The sequence below is a fragment of the Homo sapiens genome, chromosome 10, assembly GCF_000001405.40.
Source record: "Homo sapiens chromosome 10, GRCh38.p14 Primary Assembly".
Classification (NCBI taxonomy): domain Eukaryota; kingdom Metazoa; phylum Chordata; class Mammalia; order Primates; family Hominidae; genus Homo; species Homo sapiens.
This window is the reverse complement of record NC_000010.11, coordinates 110450036-110464519: the sequence shown is the minus strand read 5'-3', so window position 1 is coordinate 110464519 and position 14484 is coordinate 110450036. Positions and strand designations below refer to the sequence as shown.

At 47.4% G+C, this 14484-nt stretch overlaps 1 pseudogene, besides 8 other annotated features; it reads right to left on the bottom strand.

Annotated features, from left to right (window-relative positions):
• Positions 3183–3232: an enhancer, noted in NCBI's record as "active region_4028". NCBI's record gives its function as "activates an Ori minimal core promoter by ATAC-STARR-seq in GM12878 lymphoblastoid cells {active_cell/tissue: GM12878}" and the evidence as "EXISTENCE:reporter gene assay evidence [ECO:0000049][PMID:35858748]".
• Positions 3243–3302: an enhancer, noted in NCBI's record as "active region_4027". NCBI's record gives its function as "activates an Ori minimal core promoter by ATAC-STARR-seq in GM12878 lymphoblastoid cells {active_cell/tissue: GM12878}" and the evidence as "EXISTENCE:reporter gene assay evidence [ECO:0000049][PMID:35858748]".
• Positions 3323–3402: an enhancer, noted in NCBI's record as "active region_4026". NCBI's record gives its function as "activates an Ori minimal core promoter by ATAC-STARR-seq in GM12878 lymphoblastoid cells {active_cell/tissue: GM12878}" and the evidence as "EXISTENCE:reporter gene assay evidence [ECO:0000049][PMID:35858748]".
• Positions 3323–4563: a biological region, named in NCBI's record as "CDK7 strongly-dependent group 2 enhancer GRCh37_chr10:112219715-112220914".
• Positions 3364–4563: an enhancer, noted in NCBI's record as "CDK7 strongly-dependent group 2 enhancer chr10:112219715-112220914 (GRCh37/hg19 assembly coordinates)". NCBI's record gives its function as "activates an origin of replication core promoter dependent on BRD2, BRD4, P300/CBP, MED14 and CDK7 cofactors, with strong dependence on CDK7, by STARR-seq in HCT116 cells {active_cell/tissue: HCT116}" and the evidence as "EXISTENCE:reporter gene assay evidence [ECO:0000049][PMID:35650434]".
• Positions 3473–3562: an enhancer, noted in NCBI's record as "active region_4025". NCBI's record gives its function as "activates an Ori minimal core promoter by ATAC-STARR-seq in GM12878 lymphoblastoid cells {active_cell/tissue: GM12878}" and the evidence as "EXISTENCE:reporter gene assay evidence [ECO:0000049][PMID:35858748]".
• Positions 5833–5882: an enhancer, noted in NCBI's record as "active region_4024". NCBI's record gives its function as "activates an Ori minimal core promoter by ATAC-STARR-seq in GM12878 lymphoblastoid cells {active_cell/tissue: GM12878}" and the evidence as "EXISTENCE:reporter gene assay evidence [ECO:0000049][PMID:35858748]".
• Positions 8747–8816: an enhancer, noted in NCBI's record as "active region_4023". NCBI's record gives its function as "activates an Ori minimal core promoter by ATAC-STARR-seq in GM12878 lymphoblastoid cells {active_cell/tissue: GM12878}" and the evidence as "EXISTENCE:reporter gene assay evidence [ECO:0000049][PMID:35858748]".
• Positions 13116–13915, bottom strand: HMGB3P5 (high mobility group box 3 pseudogene 5; annotated as a pseudogene).

Below are 14484 nucleotides of genomic sequence, written 5' to 3'. Positions count from 1 at the left end.
CATGTGCTTCCTGGTCTACAAAATGGGGGTGATAACTCCCACAACACCTATACAGGTGTGCTTACACTTAAAAAGTACGGTTACAGGCCAGGTGTAGTGGTTAATGCCTGCAATCCCTTGGGAGGCCAAGGTGGGAGGATTGCTTGAGCTCAGGAGTTTGAGACCAACCTGGGCAACACGGCGGAATCCCGTCTCTACCAAAAATACAAAAATAAAAATTACCAGGCGTGGAGACGTGTGCCTGTATTTCCAGCTACTCGGGAGGCTAAGGTAGGAGGATCACTTGAACCTAGGAGTGGGAGGTTGCAGTGAGCTAAGATCAAGCCACTGTACTTCAGCCTGGGTGACAGAGCAAGACTCTGCCTCAAAAAAAAAATATTGTAAGGTGTCATGAGACTGGCAACGATGAAACATTTGGACCATGCCTATGCTGACATTGTGAAGGGCATGCCCTCAGAGTCAGCTGGCGGTGGGGGTCAGGGTGAATTAATCCAACTGTTCCCAAGAGCAATTTGTCAGTATTTGTGAAAACAAAAATTGTTATTTATCTTTTGAACCATTAATTCCACTTCTAGGAATTTGTGCAATGAAAATACCAAAGACTACATATGGGGAGGTTGTCTGTGACATTCCTTACAGTGGTTAATCCCGGAAGCCATCTAAATGCCCACTTTCCTCTCTAACACAGCTATTCTATGGTATACTAGGTACCCACTAAAAAGAATGAGATTGTGATCCATGGACTGATATGACATGATCTTCAAGAAATATTTTTGTGTGTGTGAAAAAGGGTACAAGACAGTATATATGTGATCTTATCTTTATGTTTAAAAATAGGATGTAATTGTGTGTGTGTGTGTGTGTGTGTGTGTGTGTGTGTGTGTGTGTGTGTGTGTGTGCTGAGAATATTTCTGGAAAAAGAATGTGTAGAAAACAGAATTTTTTCCAGGGAGGGAGGGCAGAGGTGGAGGGAGAATTATTTTTCACTGTGTGCTCTTGCACTTGAAATTTTTATGCGTTTGTGTAATTTAAACACAATTTTGGAATATAAAAAGTATGTAAGCTACTTCCATTCTAATTACTGGCAAGTTTTTATTTCTAGAATGCTTCTATGTCACAGAGAGTGGCTCTGAGAATGACCTTTGAAGAATGGGAAGATGACACAGGCTTCAGAGGACCAAAGTAGGATGTGGGCTCCACAGAGTCGGCCGCCACTTGCTACCTCTGGAGGCTGCCTGTAGTCTTAAGCCCAGGAAAGGCAGTCTCCCCAGCCCCTGTCACTGCTACCTGTGGCCGCATCTAGCCCCCAGCACCTCCTCCTCAGGCCCCATCTCTGGAGGGGCCATCACTCATAATTCAGTGGGTGTCAGGCTCGGTGCTAAGTGCTTCAGGTGCGTTAGGTTGAAGGTCTTTGCCTCTCACCTCCCTGCACCTCACAGCTGGCGCAGTGGTCCAGGCCACCACAGCTTCCTTGGAACTGCTTGCCCCCTTTGAGCCATTCCCAGCCGCCAGAGTGATCTTTCTAGGCCATAAGGCATAATGGTCATTGCCCTACCTGAAACCCTCCTAGCCCGTCGCTGTTAGGATCCAATCCAAGCCCATTACTGTGGCTACGAGGCTGTCTTCCTTGCCTCTCCCACCTCTCCTCATCTGCTCTGCTCCAACTGTACTGATTGCCCTGTTCCTCGAAGAGAACAAACACATTCCTGCACCAGGACCTTTGCGTTCGCTGTTCCCCTAGCATGACGCCCGTTCCCCAAGACCTCCCTGAGCTGTGTCTCATGGTTCAGTTCTCAGCTCAGTGTCACCTTTCAGAGAGGCCTCTCTGACTACTCTAGGTAAAGAGAAGCCTCCCTCCCCTGAATCCACCTATCCCTCCGTCCCACACCACCAGGATGCATTTTCTTCATGGCATTTCTCAGTCTTGGCGATTGCCTTGTTGATTTGTTTGGGCTCTGAGCCCTCTCCATTGAATGTCAATGCCCTGAGCACATGGGCCTTTTTGGTATCGATCATCTGTGGAGCATAACGTCAGCACCGCAGGTGTTTACTAAGTGAATGGATGCAGTACATGCATTGCAAGTGCCACATGTTGCTGGAATCTTTGCTGCTTACTCTCTGTGTGGCCTCAGGAAAATCACATTTTCTGCAGCTGTGCAGTGGGGCAGGCTGGGAGTACCAGGGCAAAATAGAGAGCGGCTCCTGAATGGAGCTTTTTGTTTGTTCTAGAAGTCTATCATTCTGAAGAAGTTGTACGGAAACATGTACTCTGATTTTCCAGCTGGGGCTGTTTTCTGCCCACCTTCCTGCTCTGGGAAGCAGCGCAAGTTCCTGGGAGATGCTCCCTGGAGTCGGGGGAAGGGGTTGGCCTGGAAAATAGCCCAATGCCTAGCGGGAAAGGGAGGGTGTAAATGCGGGAAAGGGGTTCCTCTGGGAGAGTTGAACTGTCTCCTGAAATAGAGTGTGGAAAGAAAGACTGGATCAAAGTACACAGACTTTAGGGAGGTTAGTGCAGCTGAAACCCTCCACACAATGCTTGACGCTCATGTCAACACAGCACATGTAAAGGAACGGTCGCAGTGATTATTATTAATTATTGCTGTTACTGAACTGTGTCCATTTCTATAAAGGAAACGGACTATCTCAAGTTGTGCCTTTTCACAATTCTCTGCCTCATTTCAGCATCATAACAGTCCTTTGGGGCAGGTACCCTTGTTATCATAGAATTGAGGAAACCCAGCCACGGAGAGGGTGTCTTGCTCAGGTTCACACATAACTGCAGAACTGGGATTCAAATGTGGTTGGGCTCTTCCTGCTAGAATTTTGAAGTGTCTTGAAATTTCCCAGGATTCTTTATTTTTGTTAGGCAGTGCCTGTTTCCTTGAGGTTCCCAGCAGTTAAAATAACCATTAAGAAATGACAGGAGACCACAGACTTGGTTAGGAAGGAACAGGGCTGGGAAGAAGTAGGGGCACCCTTGCCTGGCTCTCCAGGAGAATCTGACCCCACAGGGGGCTACCTGGGAAGGGACAGAACCAGGGCCAAATCCTGAGGACCTCTCTTCAGCTATGAGGCCAAGTGGCTACATCTCCCTTCTGGCCTGAGAGGCTCTAGAGGGGCAGTGAACTTCTGGATGGGTCTCAGCAACAACAGAGGAAACACAGCTCCCACTCGGGCCCTATCCTCACCCTCAGGGTTGGAGCCTGGCCTCAAATCCTGATCTTCCAGGTGCCGAGCCACCTTGAGCGAAAGCAGCAGGTGTAAAAAACGCCTGACTCAGAACGGAACCTGGAGCCACCTGCCCAAGATGCCTGGGGCGGGGACCTGTCTCTTGCCCTGCCACTATGGGGATGACATCCTCCACCCTCACTCTCTCCCTTCCCCAGAATGGCACCTATGGTGTCACCATTACCACAGGCGTTTTGGGGTGGGCACTTGGGGTCAAGCCCCTTGCTCAAAGGATGACACGAAGTCTCTAATACCTTTGTGGGCCTTTATCTACTCAAGGTTGTGTGGGGGTGAATAAGCTGTTCCAGGGATGTGTTCCAGGGGCTGCAAGAAGGTGGGGAAGGCACAGGAAGAAGCAAAGATGGAACTGGAGAAAGGGTCCCAGCGTGGCCTGGGATCAGGACCTCGAGAACAGGTGGGGAAACCTGGAGGGAAAAATGGAACTGATCAGGTGCATTTCAATTGGGCCGTGGTATTTTAGGCAACACCTCTGCTGGAGAGGTTGTTGCCTGCAAAACCGGATGAAGGCAGTGCTGTCAGGGCTTGGTGCTCCGTGAACAGCCACCTGGGGTCTGCACGTGTCTTCTGCCTCCACCCACCCCCGCTCAAACCCCCTTCCCAGCACCTCCCTCTCTGCAAGGTTCCGGAGTGGCCACCCACAGAGCAGCTCTGGGCTGGGCGCTGAGTCATGAGGCTGTGGTGCCTGCCAGGGGGCGAGGGTGGCAGATGGCTTCATGTGGGCGTGAGTGAGGAGGGGGGCAGATGGGAGGGGCAGTGACCCTGGGCCCAGCAGAGATCCAGGGAAGTGGCCTGGGAGGTAGGTCCCCAACTCTTCCTTCCCCCCGTCTTCACAGCCATTTTCCAGGGATGCCCATTCCTGCTGGGGTAGCCAGCTGTGACCAGGTCAGTGTGGAAAGTGAGCCCTGGGAGACCTGAGGCCTGAGGCCCTGGGCTTCCGCTTGACCTGGCTGGGTCAGCCGTGGGAGGCAGAGCCTGGCTCTGTTTATCCAGGCCGGACACTTCCGGAGCAGATGGGCGCCTGTCAGAGCCACCAGCCAGGAACTGGGCTGACGTCCTCTCATTGCCAAGTGGCAGGTGACTCGAGGGCCTGGAGGGAACATGGGTTTGGTTTGCCTGTTTATTAGGGAACTCTCTCTCTGAGCTGGGAGCTGCCTGCACAGCTGAGTGAGCACAGGGCAGACTCTTTGACCCAAAGGGACCTGGCCCTTTCAGGCGCTGAGTGCTGGGGACTCTGTGGGGGCTCCAGGGTCTCCCCAGAAGCCATGGCTGAGCTCTGCTTTTTGCCACCCCTACCTTGGTGTATGCATTTCCTGGGGTTCCTGTGACAAAGTACCACTAACCAAGTGAGTGGCTTAAAACAGAGATGTCTTCTCTCACAGTTCTGGGGCCAGCATTGAACGCAAGGTGTCAGCAAGTCTCCTGCCAGAGGTCCTGACGGAGGGGCTGTTCCAGGCCATGCTCCTGGCTTCCGGTGGTTGCCGGCAACCCTGTGCATTCCCTGCTTGTAGAGGTATCACTCCTGTCTCTGCCTCCATCTTCACTGGCGTTCTCCCCTCGGTGTCTTCTGCATCCGTTCTCCTCTCTCTCTCTCTCTCTCTCTCTCTTTTTTTTTTTTTTTAGATAGAGTCTCGCTCTATCGCCCAGGCTGAAGTGCAGTGGCATGATCTCGGCTCACTGCAACCTCCGCCTCCCGGGTTCAAATGATTCTCCTGTCTCGGCCTCCCAAGTAGCTGGGACTACAGGCGCCCGCCCCCATGCCTGGCTAATTTTTTGTATTTTTAGTAGAGACGAGGTTTCACTGTGTTAGCCAGGATGGTCTTGATCTCCTGACCTCATGATGCACCCACCTTGGCCTCCCAAAGTGCTGGGATTACAGGTGTGAGCCACCGTGTCGGGCATCTCCTCTCTTCTTATAAGGACTCCAGTCATACTGGATTAAGGGCCCACCCCACTCAGTATAACCTCAAATTAATCACATCTGCAATGCCCTATTTCCACATGAGGTCACATTCTGAGGTTTGGGGAAGGACATGAATGTTGGGGGGATACTGTTCCACCCAGGACACTTGGGTTGCCCATCTGCCTCATTCTTTCTCTCATCTTCAGCTTTTCCTCCCTCTTGCTCTGCCATTTAGAGAGAGGACACCCTGTACCCGGGCCTGAGCTTTTGGGGAAGGTGAGGCCACCATTTTCCCAAGAGCTGGCTGACTCCCAAGCATTCGACTGTAAATTAGAAAACCCATTAAGACGCAATCAATGTACAACTTGGTTTTTATCCTGTACAGAGTATCAGAGGCCTTTGGGAATCGAAAGGAAAGCTCTGAACTCCCGCCCAGGGTAAATGTACATGCAAACACGCACAGCTCTCAGTGGTGACACAGCCCTTCCAATGCCCATTTGTCCTGGGACTCCAGAGAGGGCCTTCTCCGGGCCAAGGAATTTCTGTCTGGAGCAAAAGGAGGCCCCAGTGCTTCAGCACTGTGCTGCCTGTGAGGTCAGGGGTTGCCATGCTGGGCGAGGACTGGGAAGGGTTTCCTTAAATCAGACCAGCGTCAGTGTTTGTGTGTGCAGTCATAGGGTAGGCAATGGAAAGCGGGTGGTGGAGGTATTCAGGAAAAGGGTGGGGTGCTCTGCTGTGGTGTTAAAATGTTTTTTTTCTTGCCCCTGTAACCACCGCCCTCCAGATATTGTTGAAAAGAGGCCCAGAGCCTGATGCTGGATCTCCGGGCATTTAAAGCAGAGGTTCTCAGATGTGTTATTAAAGGGAGGAAGTAGGGAGTTGCCCAGCATAACCTCCTCCCATTAGCCTCTTTATGTAAAAGCACCCAGACTCTGTCCTTTTGTGTGTACATATAAATGTCCCCAAAGGTCCTGAAGGGTAAACATCAAGCAGGTACCAGTGGCTGCTTCTGGACAGGATCTAGCATTGAGGGCATCAAGGAAGGACTTTTCCTTGTTGCTACCTCTGTTTTGGTGTGGCTTGAATGTTTCCAATGAAAGTGGATTCAAGTGATAATTGTGTGTTAAATTAAAATCTTCTCAAAGAAAGGCTCTTGATGTTCTGGGAGTTTCAGATCCCTTCAAGAAGTTCCTGAAAACCACGGTCTATCTCTCCCCACTGCACCTGCTCACCACGAGCATCCCCAGCCCGAGGGAGGGGCAGGCCCCAGGCCCTGAAGCAGACCAGCTCCTTCTTCCGGAGAAGCCCACCTGCTGCCACCAGCCAGGCCACGGGGATGCTCCTTTTCCCCTCTCCCCACTCCACACCCAGGCACCCAGAAAATTCTAGCTGAATTGTTCTCCCGACCAGTGGTTCCCAGGCGGATGGCATCAGAATCAATTGGGGGCTCGTTGAAATGGTGTGTTGGACCACCCCTTTACTTTTCTAAGATTTACTTTTCTAATAAGCGTCCAGGTATCTGATATGATGGATCCTCCCACCTCACTTTCAGAACCAATGATCTAGGTGAAGGGCATTAACTGTGCCTTCCGAGGTTCACCTGGAATCCAGAGAGGGGTTCCAGCTGGGAACAAGGTTCATTCCTCTCCTGTGTGGAGGCGAGGAGAGGAGCATCCATGGGAACCACCTGGGGACAGGGAAGAGGGAAAATCCTTCTCTTAGGAGTGAGGCTGATGAGATGCTTTGCACTGGAAGACTGTGATTGCCTCAATGAGAAGGTACCCGGGAGGCCCCCCAGTCACCTCCTACTCCTCAGGGACTGGAGGGTTGAGAGGCGTGAGCAGGTCCTTTCAAGTCCCTCTCACCAGGTGTTGGCCTGCCTGGGACTCTGAGCTCTGACCCTTCCGTGCCCCCTCAGCCTCTCCTCACCCCTCACCATTTTTTTTTCTTTTTCTTAGAGACTGGGTCTCACTCTGTTGCCCAGGCTGGAGTTCAGTGGTATGATCACAGCTTACTGTGGGCTAGCAAGGCTGTGGCTGGAGGTTGGGAAGGCAGGGGCAGGACCCTCCAGTCCCTCGGCTTCCCCATGACTCCTTTCCAACCTCTGTAGTTCTCAGGCATTAATACACAATCTCACCTCACACCTCAAGGGACTGGATTGAACAGACTAGGTGCCCCTGGCACCTGGCTAAGCAACTGGTGTGGAATTGGCACCCAGTAAATGTTTACTGAAGGAAAGAAAGGTGGAATTCCAAAGTGTGAAGAAAGGAAAGGTTTCTGCAGTACTTTTCCACTCCATTCCCTTTCTGCATCTTGCCCTCCAGCAAATCCCAGTTGTGTGGGTTCAAAGGGACTCAGCTGTGGGACTTATCTTTTTTCCCTGCAGTGACTGTGTTTCACCCTGGGGGCATTTTCATCTTAACTGAGCACTCCCAGCCCAGGTGACTTAAACCCCAAGGATGCAATGTCAGGCCTCAGGGCAAGTGAAGTTGTGCAAGGCCAGGATCCAGGAGAGGCAGAGTTCTAGTCCAGACCTCCACCCCCAACTCATGTCAGATCCACCCTGCAGCACTGTGCCTTAGGCCTGCGCAGGTGTCATAAAGATGCAGGTCACTGGGGGAGGGGGACTCACTTTGGAGGGGCCTTGTGTGTGTGCGGTGCTTCTGTGAATGAGCTCAGCTGCTGTGTGGAGCATCTTTGTCTGCCAGACTGCCCTAGGAGTGATGAAATAGGGTCAAAATGCCAAATTCTTCCAGCAGCTTCTGAGATAAGAGCCCCTGCCAAATTGAGGGGGTGGCAGAGTTGGCGAGTCTGGGCCTGAGAGAGAGAAAGAGAGGGAGCCTGTCCATTAGAAAACTCATTGAGGAATCAGCCCGATCCTCCCTTTCCCCCAATTTCTTTCACCTGCTGGGGGGGCAGGTGGTGGTGGGGAGTGACTTGTGGAGGGGACAGGGACACCTGGAGCAGCTCTGGATCCCTGTTAACCCCTCAACGCCCAACTGCCAACAGTCACTAGGGACTTCTGATGAACAAATCCAATAACCCCTTCTCAGGCCTCTCTCTTCCTCCATCTCTGCAGATGTCTGCACTGGGGTGAGTCCTTTCCTTCCTCTAATGATTGACAAGCACTCATGCAGTGCATGCTCTGTGCCAGGCACTGTGCCAGCTCTTGGATACAAAGGGAATGAGCCCCAGCTCCTATTCAAGGAGCTTCCAGGGTGTGGAGAGAGCAAGGTGGCAACTGGCAGTTTCAGCACAGCAGACTGTGAGTGCAGTGGCTGGAGAATTTTAGGAAGGAAGCAACTCTGAGAACTCTCTTCCACATTCACCCTGGGCATTCTGTCTCTCTTCTCCCAATAGCTGATACCAGTTTATGTTTGTTGAGCTCTGGGCACTCAGATAAGAGCTCAATATGTGTTCTCCATCCTCACTACAACACAGCACAGGTATACACTGTGAACCCATTTCACAGAGAAAGAAACTGAGGGAGAGTGGCTCAGGAGCTTTCCCCAGGCCACACACATCTTCCGCCCCTTGAATGCCCTTCACTCCTAACTCTACCACTGTGGCAAGATTCCTGCTTACCAAGGTTCTGGTCTCCATTCTCTGTCTTCTTTCTTGTCACCCCTCCATGATCTCATGTCCTCCCACACACTCAGCTGCCACCTCCTGTGTCTGGGTCAGAGGCTTCTGCACCCTCCAGACCTGCACACACACTTCCTGCCAGCCTGCTGAGCAGCTCCACGTGGGCACCCTTCCAGCACCTCAACCCTGCTGTGTCCAAGCCCACCATCTCTTCCATACTTCTCTGTGACTATGCATGGTGCCCCCTGCTCCCGGTTACCCAGGTGCCAAGACATCTCTCTTCTGCCCCAATCTGGAACACACAGCAGACAGAAGGTACAAGGGGAGACCACTCTGAATTCTTTTGGTTCCAAGTGACAGAAAAGTTCTATTCAGACTGCCTTGATCAATAACAGATAGTTTTGAGTAGAGCTGGGCTCAGACACAGCTAAATTCGGTGGTTCAAATGGTTCTACCTACTCTTGGTCTTTTAGCTCACCTTATATTGGTTTCACATTTAGTTCCCACAGGGTGGCAGAATGGCTATCAGTTCATACCCCATTAAGGATAAGCAGAAGAGACCGCCCTTCTTTTCCTGGTAAATCCTACACAAGTCCCGGGATTTGCCCTGTCTGCACCAACTGGAGTCTTGGGACTAGTTGCTGAGGTTAGAAGGATTCAGTTCTCTGATTGGCCAGGCTGGGTCATGGGCTTCACCAGAACCAAATGGATGGAGAGTAGGAACACTAATAAAGGCTTAAAGATACCCAAAGGCTCTATGAGATATGTCCCTTCCATGCTTGAGGGTGCTGGGGAAGGAGAGAAGAGGCCCAATTTGTCCTGATATTTGTGACCATTACTAGGTGAGATACATACCCAGAAGCTCTAAAGGTTGAACCTTAGAATCCACAGTTAAGACAGAGCGGGGTTTGAGCCTTAATTCCACTAATGTGTTAGTCAGGATGGGCTAGTAGACTCATGGTGATAGATAACCCTAAAAATTGTGATGAACACAGTAACCATTTGTTTCTTCCACATGCCCCATGCCCCATGCAGGACAGTGGGGGCTCTGCTCCACATGGTCACTTAGGGATCTAGGTGGTTGGAGGCACCATTATCTTGCAGCTGCACTGCCTGCATATCTCCTCCATGCCAGGGGAAAGAAGAGACTGGAGAATTGTGCCTGGAGACTTTTCACTGCCTCAGTTTGGAAGTGACAGACATTACTTCCGTTCATATTTCTTTGGCTAGAACTAGTCATAGCCCAGCCTCCCAGGAAGAGGGTAGGTATAAAGGAAAGCATATGGGATAGTCAAAGAAAATTACCACTGCTGCCACACTTACTCACTAGTTGTGTGTCTGTGGCAAGGTACTTAACCTCTCTGTGTCTTCATTTCCCCGTCTGTTTTTGTTTGTTTGTTTTTATGGACGGAGTCTTGCTCTGTCATCGGGCTGGAGTGCACTGGCATGATCATAGCTTACTGCAGCCTCAACCTCCTGGGTTCAAGTGATCCTCTTGCCTTAGCCTTCTGAGTAGCTAGGACTACTAGCCTTCTTAATTTTTTTGTTTTTTGAAGGGCTATCTCACTGTGTTGCCCAGGCTGGTCTCGAATTCCTGGCTTCAAGTGATCCTCCTGCCTTGGCTTCCCAAAGTGCTGGGATTACAGGCATGAACCACTTTGCCTGGCCTCAGTTCCCCCCGGCCCCGTTTTTTTTTTTTGTTTTTTTTTTTTGTTCGTTTGTTTTTTGTTTTTTTTGAGATGAAGTTTTGCTTTTGTTTCCTAGGCTAGAGTGCAGTGGTGCCATCTCGGCCTGCTGCAACCTCCACCTCCTGGGTTCAAGCGATTCTCCTTCCTCAGCCTCCCGAATAGCCGGGATTACAGGCGTCTGCCACCACACCCGGCTAATTTTTGCATTTTTAGTAGAGACGGGGTTTGACCATGTTGGCCAGGCTGGTCTCGAACTCTTGACTTCAGGTGATCCACCCACCTCAGCCTCCCAAAGTGCTGGGATTACGGGATGAGCCACCACACCCGACCCCCCATCTGTTAACTGAGGATTACAATAGTTCTTTTTAAAAATTTTTCTTTTTATAAAAGTTTAAAATTTTATTGTGGGTACACAATAGCTTTATACATTTATGGAGTACATGAGATGTTTTGATATAGGCATGTAATGTGAAATAAGCACACCATGGGGCATGGAGGTGTCTATCCCCTCAAACATTTATCCTTTGAGTTACAAACAATCCAGCTACATTCTTTAAGTGATTTTAAAATGTACAATGAAGTTATTGACTATTGTCACCCTCTTGTGCTATCAAGTTGTAGGTCTTATTCATTTTTTCTATTTTTTTTTTTGTAGCATTAACCACCTCCAACTTCCCTCAGCCCCCCACTATCCTTCCCAACCTCCAGTAACCATCTTTCTACTCTCTGTGTCCATGAGTTCTACCATTTTGATTTTAATTTTTTAAATTAAAAAAAAATTTTTTCTTGCCCCACCTAATGCCATCACCACAAATAACTGAGAACATGTGATGTTTGTCTTTCTGTGCCTAGCTTATTTCACTTAACATAATGATCTCCAGTTCCATTCATGTTGTTGCAAATGACTGGATCTCATTCTTATTTAATAGCTGAATAGTACTCCATTATGTATATGTGCCACATTTTCTTTATCCATGTTCCAGATCTTAGAGGAAAGACTTTCAGTTTATCCCCATTCAGTATGAGACTAGCTGTGGGTCTGTCATATATGGCTGTTATTATGTTGAGCTATGTTCCTTCTATCCCCAGTTTTCTGAGGGCTTTTATCATGAAGAGATGCTGAATTTTATCAAATGCTTTTTCAGCATCAATTGAGATGATCGTATGGTTTTTATCCTTCATTTTGTTGATATGAGGTATCACATTGATTAATTTGCATATGTTGAACCATCGTTGCATCCCAGGGATAAATCCCACTTGGATATGAGGAATGATTTTTTTTCTAATGTATTGTAGAATTAGGTTTACTAGTATTTTGCTGAGGGTTTTGCGTCAATATTCATCAGAAATATTGGCCTGTACTTTTCTTTTTTTAATGTGTCTGTGTCTGGTTTTGGTATCAGGGTAATACTGGCCTTGTAGAATGAGTTTGGAAGTATTCCCTCCTCCTCTATTTTTATGAATACTTTGAAGAGGATTAGTATTAGTTCTTTAAGCATTTGGTAGAATTGAGTAGTGAAGACATCAAGTCCCCGGCTTTTCTTCAACAACCAATTTATGCCTAGTGTTCCATTATTGGAATGCTATGTTTGTAGGAGTTATTTATACCCTATTGCTCAAGGTCATTGTCAAGGTCTGATTTTTCACACACAAAAAATTTGCAACCTCTGGCATAAATGGGTTAACAGGAGACTTTTTATTATGGCTTCAAACTCGTTACTTGTTATTGGTCTGTTCAGGTTTTGGATTTCTTCCCAATTTAATCTTGGTAGATTGCATGTATCTAGGAATTTGTCCATTTATTCTAGATTTTCCAATTTATTGGCATATACTTGCTCATAGTAGCCACTAATGATCCTTTAAATTTCTGAAGTATCAGTTGTAATGTCTCCTTTTTCATTTCTGATTTTATTTATTTGTATCTTCTGTCTTTGTTTCTTAGTCTGGTTAAAGATTTGTCAATTTTGTTTAACTTTTTTTTAAAATGTAAGACTTTAACTTCAAAAACATTTTAGCATTCCAAACATACAAAAAAAAAACAAAACACTCAACGTTTCAAACCGTGTTTAAGTACAGAAAGTTCTTGAACTTTCATTGATGCAGTGGCTCTTCACTTTGCTAATAATGAATAGTTCTACAGTTTGTTTAAAAAGTAGTCCCAGCTACTCCAGAAGCTGAGGCAGGAGAATCACTTGAACCTGGGAGGTGGAGGTTGCAGTGAGCTGAGATCGCGCCACTGAATGCTGTGTCACAATATACAGAAACAAGACAACCTGAAGCTAAATGTATGCCCTCTGCAGAGGCAACAGGTCCAGCCTCACAGTGCATGCCCTGAGCTATGGCCCTTCCAAAAGGCAACTTCCCCACAGCCTCAACCCCAAGCAAAGAGCTTCAAGAGTTTGTCTTGGTCGTTTTGTTCTTTTTACAAACTATAGATATATACAGTTGATAACTTAGGTTTCCAGCCAATTACCATATAGTTAAGACCACCTTACAAATTAAAAAAAAAAAAATGCCAGAAACATCTTTAAATGCCTTGTCACACCAACCGCAAAGTGCACAGAGTGAGGAGAACATGAGAGTGCCTTTTCATTTTAAAAATGTTTGGAAATATGTACAACTTTGATACAGTTTCAGGGTGCTCTGGACACCCATGGCCACTTCATGTAAACCACCGACAATTTCTAGAGCACTTTGAGAGACTACAATATGATCGTGATCAAATTTTGTAATTAAACCTAATGAGGGCAACAGACACTTCTCAAATAAGAAATGTGTCAATTACGGCCCTCCCCTACTCTAAGGTATTCACAAGGAGACAGATAAACAGGTTTTTTTTTTTTTTTTTTTTTTTTAATTCATCCTCCTCCTTCTCCTCCTTTTCTCCCTCCTTGTCTTCTTCACCTTCCTCTTCCACCTTTTTCCGGGCAACTTCAGCAGGACACTTTGCACCATCAAACTTTCCTTTCGACTTAGAGTCGGCAACATCCTTATCATACTTCTCCTTCAGCTTTGCCGCCTGAGTGACGTAAGGCTGCTTTTCACTGTCATTTAAGTTACTCTACATCTCACTCAGCTTTTTTTTTTTTTTTTTTTTCTTCTGCATCACCAATAGAGATGCTAGGTTTTGTGGAATTGATCTTGGAGCGGAATTCTGAATAGAACAGGAAGAATCCAGACGGTGGCATTTTGGGGGCATTAGGATCCTTCTTCTTCCTGCCTCCCTTAGCTGGTCCATAATCCTTCTTTTCCTGATCATAGTGCACTTTATCCACCTTTGCCATTTCATCAAATTTAGACTTCTCTTTCCCATACATTGTCTTCCACCCCTCAGAGCACTTCTTGGAAAATTCTGCAAAATTGACAGGAACTTCTGGGTTTTTCTTTTTATGTTCTTCTCTGCACGTCTACACAAAAAGGCAGAAGCAGACATCTTGCTCTTTGGTTTTGTGGGGTCATCTTTAGCCATCCTGACTGTATTGTTCACTAGTCTCAATTTTGTTTAACTTTTTGAAAAACCGACTTTTTGTTTCATTGATCTTTTGTATTTTTTTATTTCAATTTTATTTATTTGTGTTCTGATCTTTATGATTTCTTTTCTTCTGCTAATTTTGGGTTTGGTTTGCTCTTGCTTTTATAGTCTTTGAAGCTGCATTGTTAGATTGTTCATTTGAAGCTTTTCCTCTTTTTCAATGTAGGCACTTTTAGCTATAAACTTCCCTCTTAGTATTGCTTTTGCTGTATCCCATAGGTTTTGTTATGTTGTTTTTCCATTATTATTTGTTTCAAGAAGTTTTTTCATTCCTTTTTTCTTTTTCTTTCTCTCTTTCCTTTCTTTCTTTTTTTCTTTTCTTTTCTTTTCTTTTCTTTTCTTTTCTTTTTTTTTTTTTTTTTTTTGAGATAGGGTCTGGCTCTGCCACCCAGGCTGGAGTGTGGTGGTGTGATCTCGACTCACTGCAACCTTAACATCCCACCTCAGCCCCCTGGGAATACAGGAGGAAATACAGGCATGTGCCATCACACCCAGCTAAGTTTTGTATTTTTTGTAGTGACAGGGTTTTG